This window comes from Homo sapiens, chromosome 3, assembly GCF_000001405.40.
Source record: "Homo sapiens chromosome 3, GRCh38.p14 Primary Assembly".
Taxonomy (NCBI): domain Eukaryota; kingdom Metazoa; phylum Chordata; class Mammalia; order Primates; family Hominidae; genus Homo; species Homo sapiens.
In genome coordinates, this window is record NC_000003.12 from 1156776 (window position 1) to 1181910 (window position 25135).

Here is a 25135-nt window from a genome sequence, read left to right on the forward strand (position 1 = left end):
CTATCAAAGCTCACTTACTGCTGGCTTGACCTCCTAGGCTTAAACAATCCTCCTACCTCAGCCTCCTGAGTAGCTGGGACTATAAGCATGCACCATCGTGCCTGGCTAATTTTTTATTTTTTGTAGAGACTGCCTCTCACTGTGTTGCTCAGGCTGGTCTTGACTTCTTGGCCCAAGCAATCCTCCTACCTTGGCCTCCCAAAGTGCTGGGATTACAGGCATGAGTCACTGCACCTTGCCTCTTTTTTTTTTTATTTTTAATTTTAATTTTTCTGTGTACATAGTAGGTGTATATATTTATGGGGTACATGAGATATTTTGATATAGGCATGCAATGCATAATCGCAATAGGGAAACTGGGGTATCCAGTCCCTTAAGCATTTATCCTTTGTGTCACAAACAATCTAATTATACTCTTTTATTTATTTATTTATTTATTTATTTAATTTATTTATTTATTTATGTACTTATTGTCTCTGTTGCCCAGGCTGGAGTGCGGTGGCACGATTCTGGCTCACTGCAACCTCTGCCTCCCAGGTTCAAGCGTTTCTCCTGCCTCAGCCTTCCAAGTAGCTAGGATTACAGGCATGTGCCACCACACCTGGCTAATTTTGTATATTTAGTAGAGACGGGGCTTCACCACGTTAGCTAGCCTGATCTTGAACTCCTGACCTCAGGTGATCTGCCCGCCTTGGTCTCCCAAAGTGCTGGGATTACAGATATAAGCCACCACGCCTGGCCCTGTTATTTTCAAATGTGCAATTAAGTTATTATTGACTAGAGTCACCCTGTTGTGCTATCAAATACTAGCTTTTATTTTTTCTAACTTTTATTTTGTACTCATTAACCATCCCCACCTGTCCCCCTCCCGCCGTCCCAGTTTCCTTCCTAGCCTCTAGTAACCATCCTTCTACTCTCTATCTCCATGAGTTCAATTGTTTTCATTTTTACATCCCATAAGTAAGTGAGAACATGTGAAGTTTGTCTTTCTGTGCCTGACTTAGCTTAATGACCTCCAGTTCCATCCATGTTGTTTCAAATGGCAGAATCTGGTTCTTTTTTATGACTGAATAGTACTCCATTTTGCATACGCACCACATTTTCTTTATCAATTTATCTGTTGATGGATACTTAGATTGTTTCCAAATTTTGGCTATTGTGAATAGTGCTGCAACAAACATGGGCATGCAGATATATCTTCGATATATTGATTTCCTTTATTTTGGGTATATGCCCACCAGTGGGATTGCTGGATCATATGGGGGCCCTAGTTTTAGTCTTAGTTACTGGATCATATGGTAACTCTAGTTTTAGTTTTAGAGGAAGCCCAAAACTGTTGTTGATAGTGGTTGTACTAATTTACATTCTCACCAATGGTGTATGATGGTTCCCTTTACTTCACATCCTTACCAGCATTTGTTATTGCCAGTCTTTTGGATATAAGCCATTTCAACTGGGGTGACATGATATCTCATTGTAGTTTTGATTCACATTTCTCTGATGATCAGTGACATTGAGCACTTTTTCATATGCCTGTTTGCTATTTTTATGTCTTCTTTTGAGAAATAGCTATTCAAATCATTTGCCCATTTTTTAATCGCATTATTAGATTTTTCCCTATGGAGTTGTTTGAGCTCCTTATATATTCTGGTTATTAGTCCCTTGTCAGATGGGTAGTTTACAAATACTTCCTTCCATTCTGTTGGTTGTCTCTTCACTTCATTGATTGTTTCCTTTTCTATATAGAAGCTTTTAAACTTGATATGATCCCATTTAAAGATTGTTTCTTGACACAGACTCAATTTTTTTTGGCAGCGGGCAGGATTTTCCTCTGTCACTCAGGCTGGAGTGCAGTGGCAAGATCATAGCTCACTGCACCCTCAAATTTGTGAGCTTGAACTATCTTCCCACCTCCACCTCCTGACTAGCTGAAACTACAGGCTCATACCACAATGCCTGGCTAATTTTATATATATATACATATATATACACACATATATATGTGTGTATATATGTGTATATATATACACACATATATATACACACACATATATATACACACACATATATATACATACATATATATACACACATATATATACACATATATACACACATATATATACACATATATATACACACACATATATATATATACACACACACATATATATATATACACACACACACACACATATATATATATATAGACAAGGTCTTGCTAATTCTTAAACTCCTGGCCTCAAGTGATCCTTTTGCTTAAGACTCCCAAGTAACAGACTCAAATTTATGAAACAGTTAACCTTTAAAATCTGAAACCAATTTAAAGGGGGAAATCACCCAGGGCCTTGTAAGTCATACTAAGGAACTGGATTGTGTTCAAATTACCGCCTAATTACCATAGTGGGGGCTTATTCATGGAGGATATGTGCCAATCCTCCCAGTGGATGCCTACAACCATGAACAGTCCCAAGCCCTATACGCATTATGTTTCTTCAGTCTGATAACAGAGCCAGCTACTAAGTGATTAAAGGTGGGTAGCATACACAGCGGGGGTGCACTGGACAAAGGGATGATTTCCTTTCTGGGTGGGACAGACTGGAATGGAGCAGGATGGTGTGGGATGACTGGAGATTTCATCACACTACCCAGAATGCAATTTAAAACTTATGACTTGTTTATTTCCAAAATTTAGCGTTTAATATTTTTGGACCTTGGTTGAGCATGGTAGCTGAAACTGGGGAAACTGAAACCACAGAAAGTAAAACTGTGGATAAGGCGGGACTATTATATATAGAATTTTTTTTTATTTTGGCAAATATACTGTCATTAATTTTATTTCTTTTTATCTTATAAAAATAAATACCTTAATATATTTATCTAGTATAAATTGACAGAACAATTAATCTATATAAAAATAATCTGGTTCTCAAACTTAACTTCACATTGGAATCACTTGAGGACATTTAAAAAATACTGTTACTACAATCCCACTTAGAAATTTAGAGTTAATTTATCTGTGTTCAATGTAATCATTCGTTTGTTTTTCTTTTTCCCCCCCTCAAGACAAAGTCTTGCTCTGTCCCCCAGGCTGGAGTACAGTGGCGCGGTCTCAGCTCACTGCAACTTCTGCCTCCCAGGTTCAAGCAATTCTCCTGCCTCAGCCTCCTGAATAGATGGGATTACAGGCATGCGCCACCACACCTGGCTAATTTTTGTATTTTTAGTAGGGACAAGGTTTCATCATGTTGGCCAGGCTGGTCTTGAACTCCTGACCTCGTGATCCATCTGCCTTAGCCTCCCAAAGTGCTGGGATTACAGACATCAGCCACCACGCCCGGCCAATCATTCAGTTTTTAATTTTTATTAAAATCCAAAATATCTCAGTAAGTATAATGTGCATAAATTGTGTCAGTTCAATGAATTTTCATAAATTCAACCTACCCATGTAAGCAGCACACAAATCAAGATGCAACCATGGCTGGATCCCAGAAGCCCTTTCCAATCACAGCTGAGACACAGAAGGGTAGCCATTATCTGACTTCTCATCACACAATTTACTTTTACTGTATATATATATATATATATATATACACACTACCTATATGGTCATTTAGTGTGTATTCTTTCATTTCTGGCTTGTTTCATTCAATATCGGGTTTGTGAGATTCATCCAAGTTGTTGTGTATAATGGCAAGTTTGCTTACTCTCATTGCTGGGTAGTACATTATTCCATTGTATGAATCTTTTACAGCCTGCCTTTCCATTCTACTCATGATGGACCTTGGTGTTTTTAAAAGGACCTAAGTGCTTTTAAAAGCTAAGCAAATGATTCTAGTATGCTGTTTCTGAGGTTGAGTATCACCAATGTAGTCATAAATGTACGTAAAAAAAAAAAAAAAGAAAAATTAATTTGATATCCCATTAGGCTTCCATAGAATTTGTGGTAGTGTTTTTAAATTTGCATAATTCTCATTTTTATTTATCTCTAGTTGAAAATTACCGACATATTTAGCCAGGGTGTGCTGGAGCTGACTCGTAGCAGCTCATGAAAGCTGAGTGTTAGTTTCAGGAATTTTGTAAGCAAGTCGTTTAAACACAGCTATTATTAAAAATTAAATAGACATCCAATTAAAATAATTATATTCAAAATTTCATAAATATTTAAAATTCATTACTTCCAAATTATTTTAGAATATTTTCCTATTACTTATGGTCTTGAGGTTGTTCATATCTATTGTATTTGTATGGTGGAAATATCATATCATGGAAACTACTGTGCATTTCTTCCCAAATTATGTCATGTTATTATCTGGAAATCACTCATGGGTAGTATTTACACCACAGCAACTGGCAAAAGCTACAAAGCAGGTCCTCACTTAGTGTTGATGCTGAAAGAGTTTCAGTAATGGATATAATTTGTATGACAGTGAGAAATAGTCTAAGATTATATTGCATATAATGATATATGATTATATATATATGATATATATATATATATAATGATAGCAAATGCTTACTGGGAATAAAGTTAGCAGCAGATTGGGATACAATTCCAATTGTCAGGTCATGGTTGAACTGCAACTGAAGCTTAGCTAGAGACATAAATATTCAATAAAACTTAGCAAAAGCCTTCTATGAAAATCAATTGACTTATGGAATTTGTAATTAATTATGATATTATATATTTTATTATTTTTAATTGTGGGCTACACATCACATCCATTGCATTAGTAAATTTGATAATAAACATGTGTATATACATATATATACATTTATATGCACACAAATATATGTATCCACATTCTTTTCAGAGACATGGTTGTTAAATAACTGCTAGCATGCTGCTCTGTTGAGCTATGTTTTATTTTTTAGCCATTTTTATTAGTGGAAGTATGCCATGTTTTGCAGATTTATTCGGTACAAAAAACAAGGTAGAGAAGTAAGTACCAAGACCCCATGGTGCCCTTAGGAATATATATATATATATGTATACACACACACACACACACACACACACACACACAAACATATATATGTTCTGTACATGTATATGTGTGTAGATATATATTTTCTATACATGTTACATTACACTAAATGATATTGTAATTGTTTTGTCTATTTTAGCACTAATTTAGATTTTGATATTTTATTTTTCATACAGAATTAGTACTAAATTGAAGAACAAAGATAACATATTTGGACTCAGTTAAAAAAAAATCTCAATCTGAAGATACCTAATAGTTTACCAGAAAACAGATGAAGAGTTTCTTTCCTCCCTCATAAAAAATCAAACTTGGTTTACCGAACCTTGCAGCTAACAACAGGTGCTGTCTGCTCACTTTGCCAGAAGCTCACAATAGAACAGATTGGGTACACACAGAACTAAAAACAACATTTGAGTAAGGAACAAAACCCTCCCAAATATTCTGACCAGCTCTATAATCAGTTCTTAATATTGAGCCTGGAAACAATAATGATTTCTTTAATGTCAAAATGGGCAAAGAACCTTGTTTGTATTGTTTTGTTTTGTTTTACCTGTATTTGTGCACATGGGAATTTCAGAAAGCACTTATAATCAAACACAAAAGTGCTACATTTGGGGTTGTACAGCTCAGAAGGGAGGGGAAAAAAAACCCCTTCTTCTTCGTAAAAGTCTTACAGAGAATCACCAATCACAGAGGGAGAAGTGTGTTCTAATATCAAATCTGTGTGGCTGCACCATCCCTTCTTAATTGCCAATTGTCTTTTCCACTTTGTCCTCTTTCTGTAACATTGCTAAACTGAATCTGAGGCCAGGGCTTTAACTTGATATATCTAAGTTCATGGCCATACATTTATTTTACTTACTCAAACACTTAGTCTCTCAAATAGAATTGATGATTTGTCAAATGATTTGTTGTTGCATAATGACATAGCTGTGGAAGCCGGATCTTGCTTTATGTTTGAGAACACATTTCCAGAGTCCAAAAGCACGTGAGGATTGATGGCACAGATGGGCTTGAAGAACTGGTTTCAGAAGTGCCATCTTCTACTCAACTGCCAGTTTTTCTGTTTATCATCTAGCTAGACATTCTGACCCTTTGTATCCTCCCATTGCTTATATTTTTACAACGTCAAAATCACTCCAAATGAGAAATGTGGGAACAGAAAAGCAAAGCAAAGAGTATTCAGACCACAGAAAATCATCTGTGCCTAGGGACTGGCCTGGCAGCCTCTTGTTTTCTGTTTGTCCCTTGAAGACAATGGAATTGTAATCCTTGTACCAGGAGATCACACCATCCTTTCCAGTTCTGATTACCCAATGATTCTAAGATGAGAAGCGTTACACAGTTTTACAATTTCTTAATAGTTCTGATGAAAGAATATATGAGGACAACGCAGCTTGTTTTAGCTAAAAGGCAATTTGGGACTCTTCTGTGAATTTTATTTATCCATCTTATGCTATTCCCTTGGGTAATTATGAGTGAATTGCTCTGTGCTGTGTTTCATCAAACTTTTTCTGACTGTTATTTTGAAATTATTATCAAGAGCATCACTGAAGGAACATAGTCACAAATGGATAATGCTTATTAAACTGCAGTGTTATATTTGAATGCCACTATTCTATGGCTAAGGTTGTGCTATGCCCTCATGTGCCAGCCTTGAAAGCTCATTAATTTGTTTGGTTCTGCCAGTCAGGCTGGAGTGCAGTGACGCGATCATAGCTCACTACAGCCTCGAACCCCTGGGCTCAAGAGATCCTCCTGCCTCAGCCTCCCAAGTAGCTGGGACTGCAGGCACATGCCACCACACCTGGCTAATTTTTTAAATTATTACTACTTTACAGATGAGGTTTTGCTATGCTGCCCAGGATGATCTGGAACTACTGGCTTCAAGTGTCTTCCCACCTCAGCTTCCCTAGTTGCTGGGATTACAGGCATGAGCTACTGTGCCCAGCAAAGCTCATTGATTAGTCTGCCTGTCTGTCAATGCGGTCAATCAGTTAATTCAGTGAGATACTCAGACACTCCAAACAAACTATTAATCTGAGGAGACAACCTGAAACACATGATTAGCAGCTGATGTCGTAAGAACATAAACACTTAGCCAATCTGTAATCAATGGATTCATCTCAATTTAAACTACTGCTTCTTTTAGTGGTAAACATTGAAGAGCAGGGGAAATCTGCACCAGGAAACAACAAGTTTCACTAGACTGACAACCTTGGCTGAGCTAGAACTATGTTTTCAGAATTTCTCTTCCCTATCCAGATCTGGATTAGAGATGAACAAAAAGGAAATTTGTGTGAGATTTGGAAGGTGGAAATGATGCTACTCTGTGAAAGCTGCATGTAAGTTTGTCTGGTGAGAAAGAGACACAGGTTAACAGAGAGCTCGTCCTCTGTTTCCTTCTTCATATCCAGGTTTTGGCCCAACTGGTGGCACTACTGACCAACATTGACCTTAGGTCCACTCCAGTTTTAGAGGCAACAGTTCACAAACGCTTCCCCTTCACATGCCCATTCTGGCAGCTGAACTTGCTGGCTTCCTTGCAAGATCTGACTTGACCACCTGCTCCAGTGCCCAAGAGGGCTTGTTAGCAGTATCACTGTGATATTTCCCCTCTCACTTTTGTACCATCATCTTCTCTTACAATTACATAAGGTCTTCCTCCTAAAATGAATCCTCTATTTTACATGATTCACAGTAGTTTTGCTTTCCTGATTGAACCTTAACTAGTATCTGTACAGTTCAAATTTGTCATACATGACAGGGGAATGATATCCAAATCACTATACTTTGGTTTTTCCTATGATAGCTGGTGAATATGGAGGCTTTGGAGGGGCTATAGTTTTCATGTAGAATGTGATTAGGATACTGAAGAAATTCTTGACATATATTAGGACTCAGAAGCCTATGCAACTTGGCATAGGTATTTTTTGTCTCTTCCTCTGTATTGTGAAGCCTCCCTGTGCCATTTAGTTTTTAGGCAGCAGTTCCTGCTTACCATCCAAACCCCTTTTGAACCTTACAGAATCCCCAAAAGTCAGCCTTGGCCTTAAGTCCCACAGTACTGTGCTTTACCTAGGGAGCATGTTAATTCATGCATAAAAATTAAGGACTCAAGGTACATTATATCACTGTACATCTGAGTGGATTTTTTTGTGGCTTAACCTTGATTTTTAGTGCTATAACCCAAATAAAGAAAAATGCAAGCATGCATTGGAGGGTATTGGGCTGTAATAAGGTAATAAAGACTGTTTCAGTGGTATCATATATAGTGCTTTACAGAATATAGGGTATTTTCACACCTCACCTCATTTACAGTTCATGATCTCTCATGACATTATTAGAGGGTCAGAGATGTTACATGCTTGTCCATGGTTATTTGTGTGGCTTGGAGGAACCAGAAACCAACCAAGTGTTCATATCCTAGTGTTCATTTCACTGAAAGATCTGGCTTTTTAATGAAGCCGTTGGCTCTTCCCATTCCCATTCTCATTACCGCTCATCTAGGCTGTTGCGGAAGACTCTGCAATCCTCTTTTCTCCTATTATCAGCCCCACTCTTCCTCCCATTACACCAATAGGAAATCATAATAGTTTTATGTTTCTCATTTTGCAAATGAGTTTCAATGGTCCATCTGCTTGGATCAAACGCTTCAAGTGCTGTCCCTTTGCTGCAGAACCAGATAGATTCTTCTCAACCTTGTATTGAAGCTCTAGCAGGATTCCAATGAGCTTTTTCAAACTTTTTTCCTACCTTTCTTCTATAAAGACACTTTGTGCTGGCCAAACTGAGTGCATCACCCCCACTACACACACACACTCACTTCTACAAGGACTTATAATAATAATAATCACAACAGCTACCTGCATTGACCATTTAGTAGCTGCTGAGTATCTCACTAGTTCTTTATCTATATTACCCAGGCAATAACCATGAGATGTGCATTACTATTGTTTCCATTTGTAATGAAGAAATCAAAGCTGAAGAGGTTAAGTGACTTACTCAAGATAACATGGCAGGTCAGTAACAGAAGTTGTATTTTAGCACGGACTGAATTTTAAAATGGCACTCTCAAACTCTCTGTGCCACTGCCTTTCTTCGAGCACTCCCCATTTCTTACAGTGCCTGATCCCTCTGAACACACATTTTCATTTCTTCCTTCCCTTCAAGGGCCACTCCAAAATCAGTAAGTCTTCCATCATCTCCACATTACCACTTACCCACAGAAAGTCTCCCTCTCTTGAATTCCTACATCTCTGAGAAGATGCATGAGGAAAGAGAAGTATAACTTATGAGTCGGTAACATTCAGTGCTCATTTCTCAGTGCGTTGCTTGGATCCTGGCATGCAGGGGCAGCTCATTGGCATCAACTGTTCTAAGTACTGGCTAAACAAGAGACAAGCTCTGAGGCATATAGTCACAAATATGGGCAGTAAGGAGTTATCGTGGGAGTGGTGAATGTGGAGGGGCTCTGAGTGGGAAATAGTTCAACCTCATTTTATAGATCCCACATCTAGGATACAAATCAGTTAAGCCACTTGCCCAATGTCATTCAGATAACACAAGAGTACCCGGGAGTGCTGAGATCTGAACCCAAGTACACATATATTCTTCCTGCATTTTGCCAAACACAAGGCAATTTCTAGGCTTAGTGGAGTTAATGATGAGCAAAAAAAAGGCACATCCTAGAAGCTTCTGGTCAAATGGCAGAGATGCTAAGATACAGATTAAAATTTTTTTTAAGAAAATACAAGTTTTTAAAATTGTTTTAAAGGAATCAAACTACACATCTCATCCAGATGACAGATGCTACTGGGGAAGGAAGCACAGCACTTATCTATCAGTAGGGCTAGGGAGCTCTTAAGCTGATTAAGGACACAGGCTCCGCAATTAAAGACACCTGTGGCACATATACACCACAGAATACTATGCAGTCATAAAAAAGAATGAGTTCATGTCCTTTGCAGGGACATGGATGAAGCTGGAAGCCATCATTCTTAGCAGACTAATACAGGAAGAGAAAAACCAAACACTGCATGTTCTCACTCATAAGTGGGAGTTGAGCTATGAGAACACATGGACACGGGAAAGGGAACATCACACACCAGGGCCTATTGGGGAGTTGGGAGCAAGGGGAGGGAGAGCACTAGGAGAAATACCTAATGCTTGTGGGGCTTAAAACCTAGATGATGGATTAATAGGTGCAGCAAACCACCATGACACATGTATACCTGTGTAACAAACCTGCACGTTCTGCACATGTATCCCAGAACTTAAAATTAAAAAAAAAAAAAAGAAACAGTGGTTGTGAGAGAACAGTGCAGTAGAGTGGTAGGGATGAAAGACAAATTATAAATGGTGGAGGAGTGGGGAGAATAAAACAAAAACAAACAAACAAACAAACAAAAACACCTTGGTTCATACCTGGCACCTTACTACTTGTGTGGCAGGGCAAGCTACTGAACCCCTCTCTGTCTTACATACTGCATGACAAATGATACACATTCAAGTCACACTAGTTTTCATTTTTTCCTATCAGTTGCCAATTTCTTGTACTAGAGATCTTTACGGGAGGTCTTACCTAGGTGTTACCTTCCTTTTCACCTAGATGACGTATCTGAAATGTTGCCCAGATGGGGATCCATATCCAATGTATCTTTTTACTCTGTCTCCGAAGTACCTAACATGGCTTTGGTAAATATCTTTTGTTTAGCTAGCAAGCACATATTAAAATAATGAAGTGCCCCGTGAGTCACAATGATCATCACAAACAGCCATACGACATTTCCTATGCACTTTTACACTCTTTTAATCTCCCAGGTGATTAGATATATAGCTTAAACATACCGTAAGTCCCTCAGGTGGGCAAATTGTATTGGCCCCATTTTACAGATGGGGAAAATGAGGGAAGGGTAAGAAGCTTGCCCCAAGGTACAGAGTGAGCCAGTGGTGGAACTGGGATTTGAATGCAGGCTGTCTCGCTCCTGAATCTAACTTCTTAGCTGCTAGATTCAACCGCTGTTCAACAGAGTGAAGGGATGCTAACACCCAACATATATTGAGCACTCATATGTGCTTTCAAATAATTCCATGAGTTAGGATCTCAAAATAATTTGACGACATAGGAAATGTCATTCTTTTTTTCATTTCATTTATTTATTTTGAGATGAAGTCTCACTCTGTCACTCAGGCTGGAGTGCAGTGGCACAATCTCACTGCAACCTCCGCCTCCTGGGTTCAAGCACTTCTACTTCCCTCAGCCTCCCAAGTAGTTGGTACTAGAGGTGCACGCCACCACGCCTGGGTAGTTTTTGTATTTTTAGTAGAGAGGGAGGTTCCCCATGTTGGCCAGGTTGGTCTCGATCTCCTGACCTCAGGTGATCTGCCCACCTCGGCCTCCCAAAGTGCTGGGACTACAGGCGTGACACATCGCGCCCGGCCTGGAAATGTTATTAACCCTGTGTTTTAGGTTGGGCTCCTCCAGAAGCCGACTTTCAGAAAAAAATATGAATGAAAGTAATTTATTTAAAAGATAATCCCCAAAAGCCCCAGTAAATGGTAAGTGAGACAGGGTGAGAAAGGATGAGGTTTGTTATTGAGCAGTGCACATCTAGTATGACTGAGACTCTGTATACAGGAGGTAGTGTAGAACACACCTCAGTGTCTTATCAGAATGTGACTAAGGGACCAGGAAGCTGGGACACTTGCCCGTCACTGCCCTTTCATCACTGGCATCAACTGTTCTAAGCACTGACTAAACAAGAGACGAGCTCTGAGACGTATAGTCACAAATATGTGCAATAAGGAGTTATCTTGGGAGTGTTGAATGTTGAGGGGCTCTGGGTGGGAAATATTTTAACCTCATTTTACAGATCCCAGGTCTGGGATAAATATCAGTTAAGCCACCTGCCCAATGTCACTCAGGTAACACAAGAGTACCTGGGGGTGCTGAGATCTGAACTCAAGCACACATATATTCTTCCTGCATTTTGCATGTTCTCTCTAAGCACAGAGCAATTTCTAGGCTTAGTGGAGTTAATGATGAGCAAAAAAAGGGACATTCTAGAAGCATCTGGTCTAACAACAGTGATGCTAATATATAGGTTAATTTTTTTTAAGAAAATACAAGTTTTGAAAACTGTTTTAACGGAATCAAACTATATTGCTGATATAGAGAATAACTCAGGTGGACGTGAGTGGGAAGGGTGTTTAAAAAGGCGTATTCCTGGCAAGGGAAAGCCAAAGTCACTCATCCGTGGAGACAAAGCAGGCCAGAATGACTGATGGGGATGCAGTGAGTGGCAGAGGAAGGATGGTATGAAATGAGGAAGAAGGAAGGGAAAAGGCAGACATACTAGTCTCAGAGGCCCTAGTCATGCTTTAGGATTTAATTCTAAAAGCAATGAGAATTTATCAAAGAGCATGCAATTGGCAGAGGATTTGTTCTTCTATTTAGCCTAAGAGGCCTCCAGATTAAATGTTCTTTCTAAATACTTAAAAAAGGTGACATAGTCTAAAAGGGAGACAGCAAACCAGCTAGAGGCTGTGGTCAGGTGTGGGGAAGGAGGGGACATTCAGCCTCCTTGTTGTATTCAACCGCCTTCCTCAGCTCTGTCTTCTCTTTTCTGATTCTGTCCACATTCCACTTTAATCCTCAATGCTTGTGAGATGATCCAGAGTTTGACTGCATATTTAGCTTTTCAGGGATACTGCAGATAATGATGAGAATTATTCATCTTTCTTCAGCATAAACCGTATTTAACGAGGGGCTAGAAAAATAATATAAAGAGGCTTTATGGTCAAGTTTCAGAGCTGAGTTAGGAAAGTAATTCCAAGTAGTAGAGTTTCAGCATATTTTATTTCCTCCTTTTACTTCTCTAAATTTTCCAAATGGATTTATACTATTTTTAAAATAAAAATGGTCAAGCCTTTAAACATTTGTGCCAATTATGTAGATAGCCTGCAAAGCTGAGACACTTCTCACTATGCTAATCAGATAACTGGCTCAGGCTTTCTATTTTATTTGATAAACTTTGGTCATTCTGAATTTCCAAATATCACCAAAAATTCTGACTTTGATAAATAATCAAATATTTAGCTCTATTGTGTATTTTCTTACAATTTTCAAGTGATATGGGTGGCCCATATTATATTCACCTTAAATTTTATTAGAAAAAGAATACTTTCGCCGGTTGCGGTGGCTCATGCCTGTAATCCCAGCACTTTGTGAGGCCGAGGCGGGCGGATCACTTGAGGTCAGGAGTTCAAGACCAGCCTGGCCAACATTGTGAAGCCCTGTCTCTACCAAAAATACAAAAAAATTAGCCGGATGTGGTGGTGCAAGCCTGTAGCCCCAGCTACCTAGGAGGCTGAGACAAGAGAATTGCTTGAACCCGTGAGGCAGAGGTTGCAGTGAGCTGAGATCATGCCACTGCACACCAGCCTGGATGACAGAGTAAGGCTCCATCTCAAAAAAAAAAAAAAAAAAAAAAAAAAAGCAATACTTTTAATATGCTTACTCACACTATTCAAAGATCTTTAATTATAATCATTTAAAAACTGTGAGGTAGAAAGGACAATAAGTGTTATTCTCCCCAATATACAGACCAAAATATGGGTAACGTAAGCTAAAGACCCACAGTTAGTAGCAGAACCCGTTGAAAATCGAGTGTCTATTTAAATAACAAACCTGGGTGTCTATTTGGGGATAAAACACCCAATCTCTACAGCCCTTTGATTTCAAAAGAACTGATATCCCAGGAAGATAGAGAACTTAACATAAATAAGAATAACCAAAGTGAAGCTTAAACATTTGTACAAACCTTGACAATTTCATTTTTTGTATTGTTTGTATTACCCAAGTCTTATCACAGGGGACACTGAGAACCAAATTAAGTGTGTCAAAAATCAAAAGGAAAGATACATAAGCCATCTCCTCTGAATTTTTTCCTCCTTCCCTTGTTTCTTCCTTATAAACACTGCTGGGTACTTAACTTTTAAAAACATGGGCTTTGAGGAAGGACATAGCTGGGTACCAATCCCATCTCTGCTCTTTAAGAAGTTGGGTTACCTCTGACAAGTTACAAACCTTGCTTAGCATCTATCTCTTTACCTTTATATTAGCCACAATACCCACTCCATAGAGTGGGTTTTATATATTACTATTTGTACAGACTTGCAAGAATGCAAAGTGCGTAGAAAGTGCTCGATAAACAGTAACTAGTGGTGACTGGGGTAGGGGTAGTGCCAATAGTTGCTTTAAGAACAGTTGAACTAGCAGCAATGGCCAATGCCATTGGCAACCAAATTGTGCTCATAACTCTATGGACCAGATCTTAAGACTCCAACACTGGGAAATTTGCTGTCATTCTTTGATCCCTGGGCTTAAATGTCTACTTCTTAATGCTATGAGCTAAATATTCAATGTTAAAATGGACAGGGGGTCATGCTCCATCTCATTTATCATAAGTGAATAACTGGGTTATTTTGACCATAGATCAAACTCCAAAAATTTAAGCAAAGAAATAATATGTGTAGGTTCCAGAAAGAGATGGGGAAAATGTGAAAATACAGCTAAAATAACCCACAATTTAAATTTTGGCTACAGAGTTAATGTCCTATTTGTAAACCAGAATTTTATAATCTCAACACTGCTGAGCAGATAACTAATCATATTTTGAACCAAATAATTATTTGCTGTGTGAGCCTGTAGATGTTTAGCAGCATTCCTGCCTGTACTTATAAATGCCACTTGTGCCACCAACCCCCGGTTGTGACAACCAAAAACTGGCTTGACTCCCAAATCCACTGGAGCAAAAGTACCTTCGATTGAGAACCACTGCTCTATACTCTTTTTTTTTAGGCAGAGTCTCACTCTGTTGCCCAGGCTGGAGTACAGTTGTGTGAACAAATTCATTGCAGCCTCGACCTCTTGTGCTCAAGTGAGCTTCCCACCTCAGCCTCCCAAGTCCCTGGGACTACAGGTGCATGCCACCATGCCTGGCTAGTTTTTTAATTTTTTGCAGAGACAGAGAGTCCCCATGTTGCCTAGGCTGGTCTTGAACTCCTGGGTTCAAGCCATCCTCCTGCCTCAGCCTCCCAAAGTGCTCGCATTACAGGCGTGAGCTACCACACTCGGCCTGCTGTATACTCTTGACTTTAGAATGCTCATAATTCTAAAGAACCATGTTGCATCGTGCCTTCTCATAAAGCCTCAGCCTTCAATTTCACACCATCCAAACCCATTGAAGCTCTTGAGTCCCTTGACATGGTAACTCCTATCCCTCTCCCATCAGACCATCTCCTCATGGAGGTGACAGACAATTCAGGAAAATCTCCCATTAAATCCACTCCCCTAAAGCCCTCTTGGAAGAGTAACTATATGAACTTTATACTTCTCTCCCTCCCAACTTTGTACCTACTTTCTCAGAGGTGCTTAAAAAATATCACTTCTCTGAACCCCAGTTCTCTCTTTTATCAGTTTCATGTCTTCAAAAATAGCAGGATTATATTGCCCTCTGCAGATGCTACTGGTGATAAAGAATAAAAATTGAAACTGACTTTTTATGTAACAGCAGTGTATCACAAAGGAGGAAAACAAGAAAGAAGGGAATTAACAATGATTAAACACCTACCATGTGCCAGCCTCTGCACTAAGTACCTATAATATTACTTCATTTAATCTGTATAGTGAAACTTTCGAGTAAAGTTTTCTGAGATCAAAAGAAAGTGCATTTCTGACATTATCTTTTAAATAAATGGTCATTTCAGATTGTTCCGCCCACTTTAGTGTACCATTTCCCAAAAGCATCCAAGAATCCTTGTGAAAAGTGAAGACAGTCTGCAATAACTCTCTGTGTGTGTGTGTGTGTGTGTGTGTGTGTGTGTGTGTGTATCACAACTTAACCCATAGTTTTGGAATGTCAGTCATCTCACCAAAATCCGGAATGAACTATGTCCCAGTGGATCACATATTCTTGAAAGGGCAGTCAGATTTCTGATAAGCAACTCATATACACGAGAGCAAAGGCAAGGTTCTATCTATAGCCCTGTCATGAGGCAAGCTGTCTCTTTTTGAAAATGATTTAGAGGCAGCTGGCCTCTGGTCTGCTAGTCTGTTGGTGTCTCACTTGGCTATTCAACATCAGAGGCAGGAATCTCTGCCCATTTTCACATAATGCACATGTCTTCCTACTGGAAGATCTTTCTCCAGGAGTGGAGGGTTCAGGTCAAGGTCTCTGCTCACAAAATAAAGACAGAACTCAGCACTATTTATATCACACCAGAACTGACTCAGCGCCATTGCCCATTTAACTCACTTGTCTTGCTATTTGGAGATGTTCTCTCTCTTCTGGCTTTTCTGCCATCTGTGACATCTCTCCAGGCATACCGTAAGGAGAGGACATTTTGAAGGATCACTCTATTTGTTTCATCCTAGAAAAGTTTATATCAGTCCAATTCTGCTGCTAACTGGACTTCGTCTCTGGCTTCTTCATTTGGAAATCTACCTCTTATGCTAAGTGCCCTTATATCACCTGGCGGTTTGCAAAGAGGTGAGTGTGAATGCTCCAGTAAAAACAGCTGCCTTTACTAAGCTTTACAGCATGTGCTCGATATTGAGCTAAGTGCTTTACGTGAATTATTTCATTTAATCCTCAGAAAATCCTCTAAAGGACAGGAAGTATTATAATCTCCATTTAGATAAAGGCAACTAATTAAGATAAGTTAACAGCTGCCAAATTTCATACAACTAGTACATGACGAAGTTGGGATGTGAACCCGGACCCATCCAATCCCAATGCCCAAGGATGTTCCACTTTATCACACCACCTCCCTGTGAGCTTCTGTTGAGATTATTTTTTTACTGCCTGATCCACAATATTATTGTCATCTTTATTTGGCTTGGCGGTTGACAAAATGAATGCATTTCTAGAATCTTCAATGACGTGAAAATTGGATTACAAACAAAACCATCTCTGGAACTGCCTGTTTCCTGTATTTTCCTTTTGGGGAAAAAAAAAAAAAACTAAAATAATGAGCTAGACGAGAATTCTGATCTCAGATATGCCACTACATGCTCCTGCACACCAGAGCAATGATGTACCTCTCGAGACTTCTGTTTCTTTATTTGTAAACTGGTGGGGTTGGAATTATGAATTTTAAATTCCTTTCTATCTCCAATACACTGTGATTTTCTGATGCAGTGGGTATTACTGCCTCACAAAGGGCTTACAAAATACACTGGAGAAAACACCAGTAATAGAAAACTCTACATTCATTGCTACTTAACTTTGTGCTCATTCAAATATCTTCATAGTGTCTCTCTCCAGAGACTCCAAGCACTTACTTAATTTAATATAGCCCTTTATAAAATGGGTCTTCTCTGCAAATCTCAGCTTGAGGCATTTCTCTGGTACCCACACAATACATTCGCTTTTACAGAGGCTTTATTTTTTCCCCTAAGAATTTCCTGTTCATTTAGCTACAGCCAGAGGTAAAGCTAACAAATTTGTACATCTCTTCAGAGGCACCCAATTTACTAAATGTCTTTTAATTGGCATAGGAGCTCATAGAATGTCCTCTGAGAGGTCACGTTAAGAGTTATTTTGTTAAATACAAAGGTATAGAGGAGGTATTTTCAGATGGAATCTGAAACTCAAACGGAAATTTTTTAGCAGCATCTCATGGAACTTCTCAGTTTTCTTATCACAAATGTTCTCCTGTCAGATCTTCTGTCGTAAATATGACCCTGTAGACTGAACAATGGAAATGACAGCCACTGAATCCATCTCTCTTTCTCTTTTCTGCATTTAAAATTCAAGATTATAATTGTAGTACAAAGTATGATTAGTAACTATCAGTGTGAACTTTGGAGTCCACACTAATCTCCTAAAATTTCAGTCATCCATTCAACAATACTCATGGCTTCACCCACATGCTCACTTCTGTGTCCCTTAAATCAGTGGCTGACACATAGGAAGAACCCAATGAATAATAATGCTAAATTGATATGCCAAGCACTGTGCTACAGGTAAAGCACTGAACAAAGCTGACATTGCCCCAATCCTTAAAAAGTTTATAGTCCGGAAATAATTGTTTATTCTTATATGCATGCGCCCACACACGCGTGTGCACACACAGACACACTCCCAAGCACATCTATAATCAGTGTATTAAAACAAATATCTTGGCAGAGTGTGGTGGGCCATTCCTGTAATTCCAGCATTTTTGGAGGCCAAGGTGGGTGATCTCTTGAACCCAGGAGTTTGAGACCAGCTTGGGCAACATGGTGAGACCCCATCTACAAAAAACACAAAATTTGGCCAGGCATGGTGGTGTGCCTGTAGTCACAGACACTCAGGGAGCTGAGGAAGGAGGATTGCTTGAGGGTGGGAGGCCCAGACTACGGTGAGTACCACTGCACTCCAGCCTGGGCAAGAGAGTGAGACTTTGTCTCAAAAAAAAAAAAAAAAAAAAAAGACATATCTTTAAGAGCATGTAAAAGGAAAATTCCACTTGATCTAAGGAGTTCAAATAACACTACCATAAAAAATTGACTTTCTAACTAAAATGTGAATAAAATTTTACCAATGATTAGATACAGTGGAGAAGAGGCATTTAGGGTATAGGCAAAAACAAACAAACAAAAGAACAAAGTGAGGTATGGGAGAAAACACAGTCTACTCAAGGCTAACAGCAGGTTAGCCAATTGCAGATAGCAACTGGGAGCACAGCAGATGAGGCAGCAGGGAGAGGCAGGGACCAAACTATATAGGACTTTGTAGGTCCTTTTACAAATTACTAAGGATACTCTACTATATTGTAAAACAATATGAAGTTATTAAAGACTTTCTAGCTGCAAGAGGGCAGTAGAGCAGGAGAGGCAAACAACAAAGACATTATCTGATTTGTATATGCAAAAGACCCCATTGGCTACTCTTTGGTGAATATATTGTGAGAGTGGAAAGAATGAGAATTAAAAGGCAGTCATAGAAATCAAAGCCAAAATAGCAATAGTGTGATGCGGGACTCTTGCTGTAGCAACAGAACTATTTGAATAGATTTAGGATGTAATTGAAGGGTTAAAAGTGAGACTTGGTATTGCATTTTATATAGATACAATGGAGAAGAAGGAATTTGTCAAGGAGGACTCTTAGGTGTCTAACCTCAGCAATTGGTTCACTGGTTGTGGCATTTTCTGAAATAAAAAAGGAGAGAACTAAATCTGGGGTGAGATTGTAAGTGCTTCCTTCTACATTTTGATTTGAAAAGCTCTGAGTTTATTGTCCCTGTAGAAATATTGAGTACAAACAGTGGATGTTTGTGGAATAAAAAGAAGGAAAAGGAGTCAGAGTTGTGATGAATTTGGGAATCACCACAACATGTATAACAAAATATAGTAGAAATATTGGGAGGCCGGGGCGGGCGGATCAACTAAGGTCGGGAGTTTGAGACCAGCCTGACCAACATGGAGAAACCCTGTTTCTACTAAAAATACAAAATTAGCTGGATATGGTGGTGAATGCCTGTAATCCCAGCTACTCGGGAGGCTGAGGCACGAGAATCACTTGAACCTGGGATGCAGAAGTTGCTGTGGGCCAAGATCGTGCACCGCACCTGGGCAACAAGAGTGAAACTCTGCCTCAGAAAAAAGCCCCAGATCAAACTTGAGGCTGTTTGATTCAACCTGGTTAGCCGAAGAGAGTGGCTGGTAGAGAATGACTAGCATGCAACGGTGATGGAGAAATATTAGCCACAAAGATACGAGGCAAACTAGGGAGTATGGAATCACAAAAAGCAAAGAAAAAGCAAGTTTTCAGGTGAGGGAAAAATTTATAACTCTTGATTATTCAAGTATATAGAGAAGTTAAAAATATCTACAGGTATCATAACAAGCATGTCACCTACAACTTTAGTTGAACTATGTCTGTTTATTTAAGAGATAAGTAAAATTGAATTTACTAAGTGGAAAGTGTGGAAATAGAAGCAATAGATACAGACAACAATTCATAGATAGATGTTTAGCTGTGAAGGGTTTTAAAATGTTTATGCTAATAAAGTATTAATGAGTCAAAATGTACTACACATGATCTCTAAATATCACTCCACAGATTATTTCTTCATTACAAGCAGAGTAAAAGGCCTCCTCAATGCTAAGAGGTGCACTTTCTACTACAACCAAGTGATCAAATTTTGCATCACTCATAATGAGACCAACTGAAATAATACACCTCTGGATGACAAAAGAAAGCATAGAATATTACTCATGTCCTTTTCTTGCCATAATGTTTAATCTTAATCTAATCCTGAGGAAACAATCACAAAGTTCCAACTGGGAACCCTTCTCCATGGCCTGGGATCTTCAAGAACGTCAACGTGATAAAAGTAAAAAATGTGAGGAAAATGTTCTAATTAAAAGAAGCGAGAGATTGCATAGTAAACACAATGTTGGTTTGATATTTTAAAACTCAGATATAAAAAATTTTGGGGGGTTTGTTGAATAAACTTGAACATAGATTATAATGAAGTATTGTGTCTACCTTAATTTTCTCAAGTGTGATGTTGTTATGATTATTGAAAGAGAATAGTCTTTTTCTCAGAAAATAATGCTGTGGAATTTAGGGATGAAATGTGATACTCTGCAACTTCTTTCAAAGCAGTTAAAAGTAAGAAATTTAAATTGTATTTTTGTCTTCATTTATTGCATTTATAGATCTCTTAATTTCCTTGTCAAGATTCAAGATTCTATCTAGCATCACCTTTTTTCTGCCTGAAGAAATTTTTAAAATATATTTCAAGTTCAGCTCTGCTGACAATGTAATCTCTGAATTTTTGTTTACCTAAGAAAACCTTTATTTCTCCATAATTTTTGAAAGATACTTTCACTGGGTATAGAACTGTGGGCAGACAGATTTTTTTCTTTCAGCACTTTAAAGACATCACTATGTTTTCTTCTTACATGCATGATTTCTGAAGGGAAATATTCTTTACTTTTTTTATTTTTCGGTATATATGTATAAATTTTTTTTCTTTATTGGTAAGATTTTCTGTATGTCTTGATACTTCTATTTGAATATGACTTCTGTCTTGACTGGTGTTCACTGAGTTTCTTAAACTCCCCCTGCCCTTTCCATTTTTTTTTTTTTTTTCTTTGAGACAGAGTCTCACTCTGTCACCTAGGCTGGAGTACAGTGGTGCAATCTCCGCTCACTGCAACCTCTGCCTCCCGGATTCAAGCAATTCTCCTGCCTCAGCCTCCCTAATAGCTGGGATTACAGGCACCAACCACCACGCCTGATTAATTTTTGTATTTTTAGTAGAGGCAGGGTTTCACCATGTTGGCCAGGCTGGTCTTGAACTCCTAACCTCAAATGATCCACCCACCTCAGCCTCCCAAAGTGCTGGGATTACAGGCATGAGCCACCACGCCCGGCCTCCCCTGCACTTTTCTTACTTTATTCTTCCAGGATTCCAATTACACTCAGCTCTTAGATGCTCTGTTCTGCTTTATTCACTCTTTCTCTCTTTGTGTTTTAGTTTAGGAATTCCTTAATGACATCTTCAAGTCTACCAAATCTTTCCTTTGATATGTCAAGTCTACTGATAAGATGAAGGTTTCTTCATCACTGCTACTATGTTTTCCATTCCTAGATTTCTACTTGATTTTTACCATCTATCTATTGAAATTAGCCTGCTGATGATGCATATTGTCTGTGTTTTCCAGTAGAGCTTCAATATATGAATTAGAGTTATTTCAAATTCTCTATGTGATAGTTCCAATACCTATGTCATATCTGATTCTGGTTCTGTTGATTGCTTTGTCTCTTGGTAGTTTCCTTCCCCCCACTGTTTTCTCATATGCTTAATAACTTTTTGCTGAAGCTCGACATTTTGTCCAAAAGAGTGGAGACTAAATAGTTTCTAAACCTAAGAATAGGCATGTTTTTACTTCTGATAGGTCGTTAGTGTGGAAGTTTGAGCAATGTAGTCAGTAGTTGTGCTGGGTTTGGGTTTGTTATGCTTGCACTCTACCACTGGCTTCCACTTCCTTTGGTTATACTTGTGTTTAGAGTGAGGACTGGTTTGCCAGAGAGTAGTCTGTTTCACTCCCATCTTTAGGGTAATCTCTTCACACTGCAACTCTCTGTTAGTCCATTTGCATTGCATTCCTATGTAAAAGGAAATCCTGAGGCTGTGCAATTTATAAAGAAAAGAAGCCTATTTTGGCTCGTGGTTCTGCAGGCTGTACAAGAAGCACGGTGCCAACATCTTCTGGTGAGAGTCTCAGGACACTTCCACTCATAGGGGAAGGCAAAATGGGAGCAGGAGCATCACATGGCAAAAGAGGGAGCAAGAATGACAGGGGGAAGGTATCAGGCTCGTTTTAAACAACCAAATCTTGCATAAACTCATTGAGTGAGAACTTACTCATTACCACAAGGACAGCACAAGCCATTCATGAGGGATCTGCCCTCAGGACCCAAACTATTCCCACTAGGCCCACTTCCAACACTAAAGGTTATATTTCAGCATGAGATTTGGAGATGACAAAACATCCAAACTATATCAATCTCGGAGTCTCTACCCACACACTTTTGTAACTCTCAAAGCTCTTAATCACTGTTAGATGTCACTGGAGGCTTTTCAGCCCGGGAGCGTGGTGGTAAGAGGAGCATTGCTGTTCTAATTAAGCCTTGGTTTTAGGCGAATTATGTCCTTAGGTTTCAGAAAGGTGGCTGCCTCCGTGTTCCAGTGTTTCCCACAGCTGTAATTCTGGGAAGGGAGTAGAGTTTTATTTTTAATGCTTCTTATCTCTAGCTGCAATGGCTGTTCCCTAGTTCCCTAAGACACTTCCTCCTGCAGTTTAAAGCTTTTCTCCCAAGGAGAATTAGGGGAGGGTGGGATACAAGCAGGACTTCTTGTCTTTCCTGCAGTGGCTGCTGTTCTCCTCCCCATGTTTTGTACAATGAGGATTCTACCACAGTCATTTTTTTGTGTGTGCATGAGCTTCTGGTGGGGCCCAAGGAAAGAGCCTATTCTGGGTGCAAATTTCCCTGTTATCTTGCCCCAAGGTTTTCTACAGTGAGAATCTACAAGCCAGTTAAAATTTGTTTTATGCCTGCAGCCAACTGAACCACATTCCTTCTTTACTAATTTGTTACCAGGTGAGCAAATGCTAGCTTACCCTCTCTCCCCATAGGCACATATCTTTTTTTAGGTTTTAAGTTAGTTGGTATTCCTGCAATCACAGCTCTCTGACTAGTTCAAGAAAAGTTATGAATTTGCAATTTGTCCAATTCTTTTTTAATGCTGAGAGTGGGCATAATACTTTTTTATTCCAGCTTTGTTCATCCCAAGCAAAAGTTGGAGGTCTCTGAAACTTAATTTCAAATAGTTCAGCAAAAAAAATGAAAAGAAAGAGAAAGAGTAAATGAAAGAGAAGGAGAAAGAGAGAGAGAGACAGTGAGAGAAAGATACATAAAGAAAGAGCACAAATGTGGCAACATATCAAGAATTAATGAATCAAGATGAAGTGGGGATGGGTATTCATAATACTTTCCATTTCTGTGTTGACACACAGGCAGTGCTCAATTAATTACCTTGAATGTAATTAAGACATAATTTGCTGAATGACAGTATTATTCTTGTTATTAGTTCCCACCAAAATAGATGAATCAATTTTTTTCCCTTTCTAGTTTGACATTGTTACCCTAAGATACTAATCCTGCTGACTCTATTTTTAAAATCCAGGTTTACTAAATATTTTATCTACTTATCTGTCAGCAATGTTTCAACTAGAATAGAAATGCTTTTGCATAAATTCATCACTCATTGAGGGATCAGCTAATTGGAAAGAGCATTAGATATGGAATTTTGAAAAACAGGCTTAAATGCAAGCTTATTCATTTCACCAATATTTATGGAGATCTTACAGTGTTCTATTGATTGTATGAGAGGTTTGGGAGTGAATAGTAGCTCTGCTGCCTCTCAGTCCCTTGCACCTGCACACATTTATATGGTTTGAGCCTTGGTCTCCACCTCTGTGAAGTATGGATAACAACGCCTCCCTCATTTGTGAGAGTTAAAATCCCTGTTATATGATAAAGTGCTTTGTGAATCATAAACAAATGATCCAAAAGCATATTATTCTAATTCTCTTTTAGTTTCTTCCTCACTTGTTCTTATTTTTTTTACTTTTTTTTCTTTGCATTTTTGTAATGTCCTTGGCCTTGGTTTCTTACTTTATTTTATTATGACTGCTTACACTGTTGTAGTCATTTACAACTTCATGTTAATCAAAATTGTGAATTTCGGCAAAGGCAACAGTCCCTGCCTAGTGTATGACCTTTTTTCCCCTTTGATCTTGGCATCTGAAAGCTTTTTATACATTCTAATTCTCTTCCATTTTAATAGCTCTGTGAAGCAGTACTATTTTCTTTGACTGATAAGATCATTGAAGGTGACCTGATTTTCTCTAGAGATGCACAATGAATAAAACACATTCTCCACTACACAACTCACTTACTCACATCCCATGAAGGGGGAAAAATCCTGAGGTTGCTCTCTCTCTATAAAGGTCACAGAAAAAGGAGATGACTTCTCAGATATTGTGATTATGCATGTATCATCAAATTATGCAAGCTGCTTATTATTCCAAATCTTAGGGGTTTTTTTGTTATTTCATCCTGTTTTACATAAAACTGAGTAGCAAAAGTGGCAAAACAAATATAGCATTTGTCTTTGTTTGTGTATTTTTAATGAGCCGAATAACACAAACACCTTAATTTTGAGGGTGCATCTTGTTGAGACACAATATTATAGATACCTGTTTGTACTTGTGTGTATGTGTGTCTCCAGGTATTACATTTATGCAGTTTTCAGTTGGAAAGGTGACCTCTTTCTACGGAGTATGTGCCCTGCACATAGGGTTTATCCCTTGTGACTGGTTTGTGTGTTAAGGATTCATGGCTTAAACAGCTAGGTTATTCATGGGTGTGGAAAATTGATATTTGAGAGCATTTTATTCTGCTCAGTCAGGCTGATTCTTTATAAGGAATCAAAACAGTGATAACATTTACCAAAAACTACTGAATAGAATATTCAATGTGTATCTATGCCACACATTGTTTCTTTCCATACACTCC

At 38.7% G+C, this 25135-nt stretch overlaps 1 protein-coding gene and 1 long non-coding RNA gene across 23 annotated transcripts in view; both read left to right on the plus strand.

Annotated features, from left to right (window-relative positions):
- The window catches only part of CNTN6 (contactin 6), a 311194-nt gene that overhangs the window by 63752 nt on the left and 222307 nt on the right, over positions 1-25135 (plus strand). The gene's annotated exons all lie outside the window — the stretch shown is intronic.
- Positions 6855-20484, plus strand: LOC105376924 (uncharacterized). Its single transcript, XR_940543.2, has 3 exons — positions 6855-9010; positions 16429-16543; positions 20102-20484. It is a non-coding gene; the product is annotated as an uncharacterized LOC105376924 (long non-coding RNA).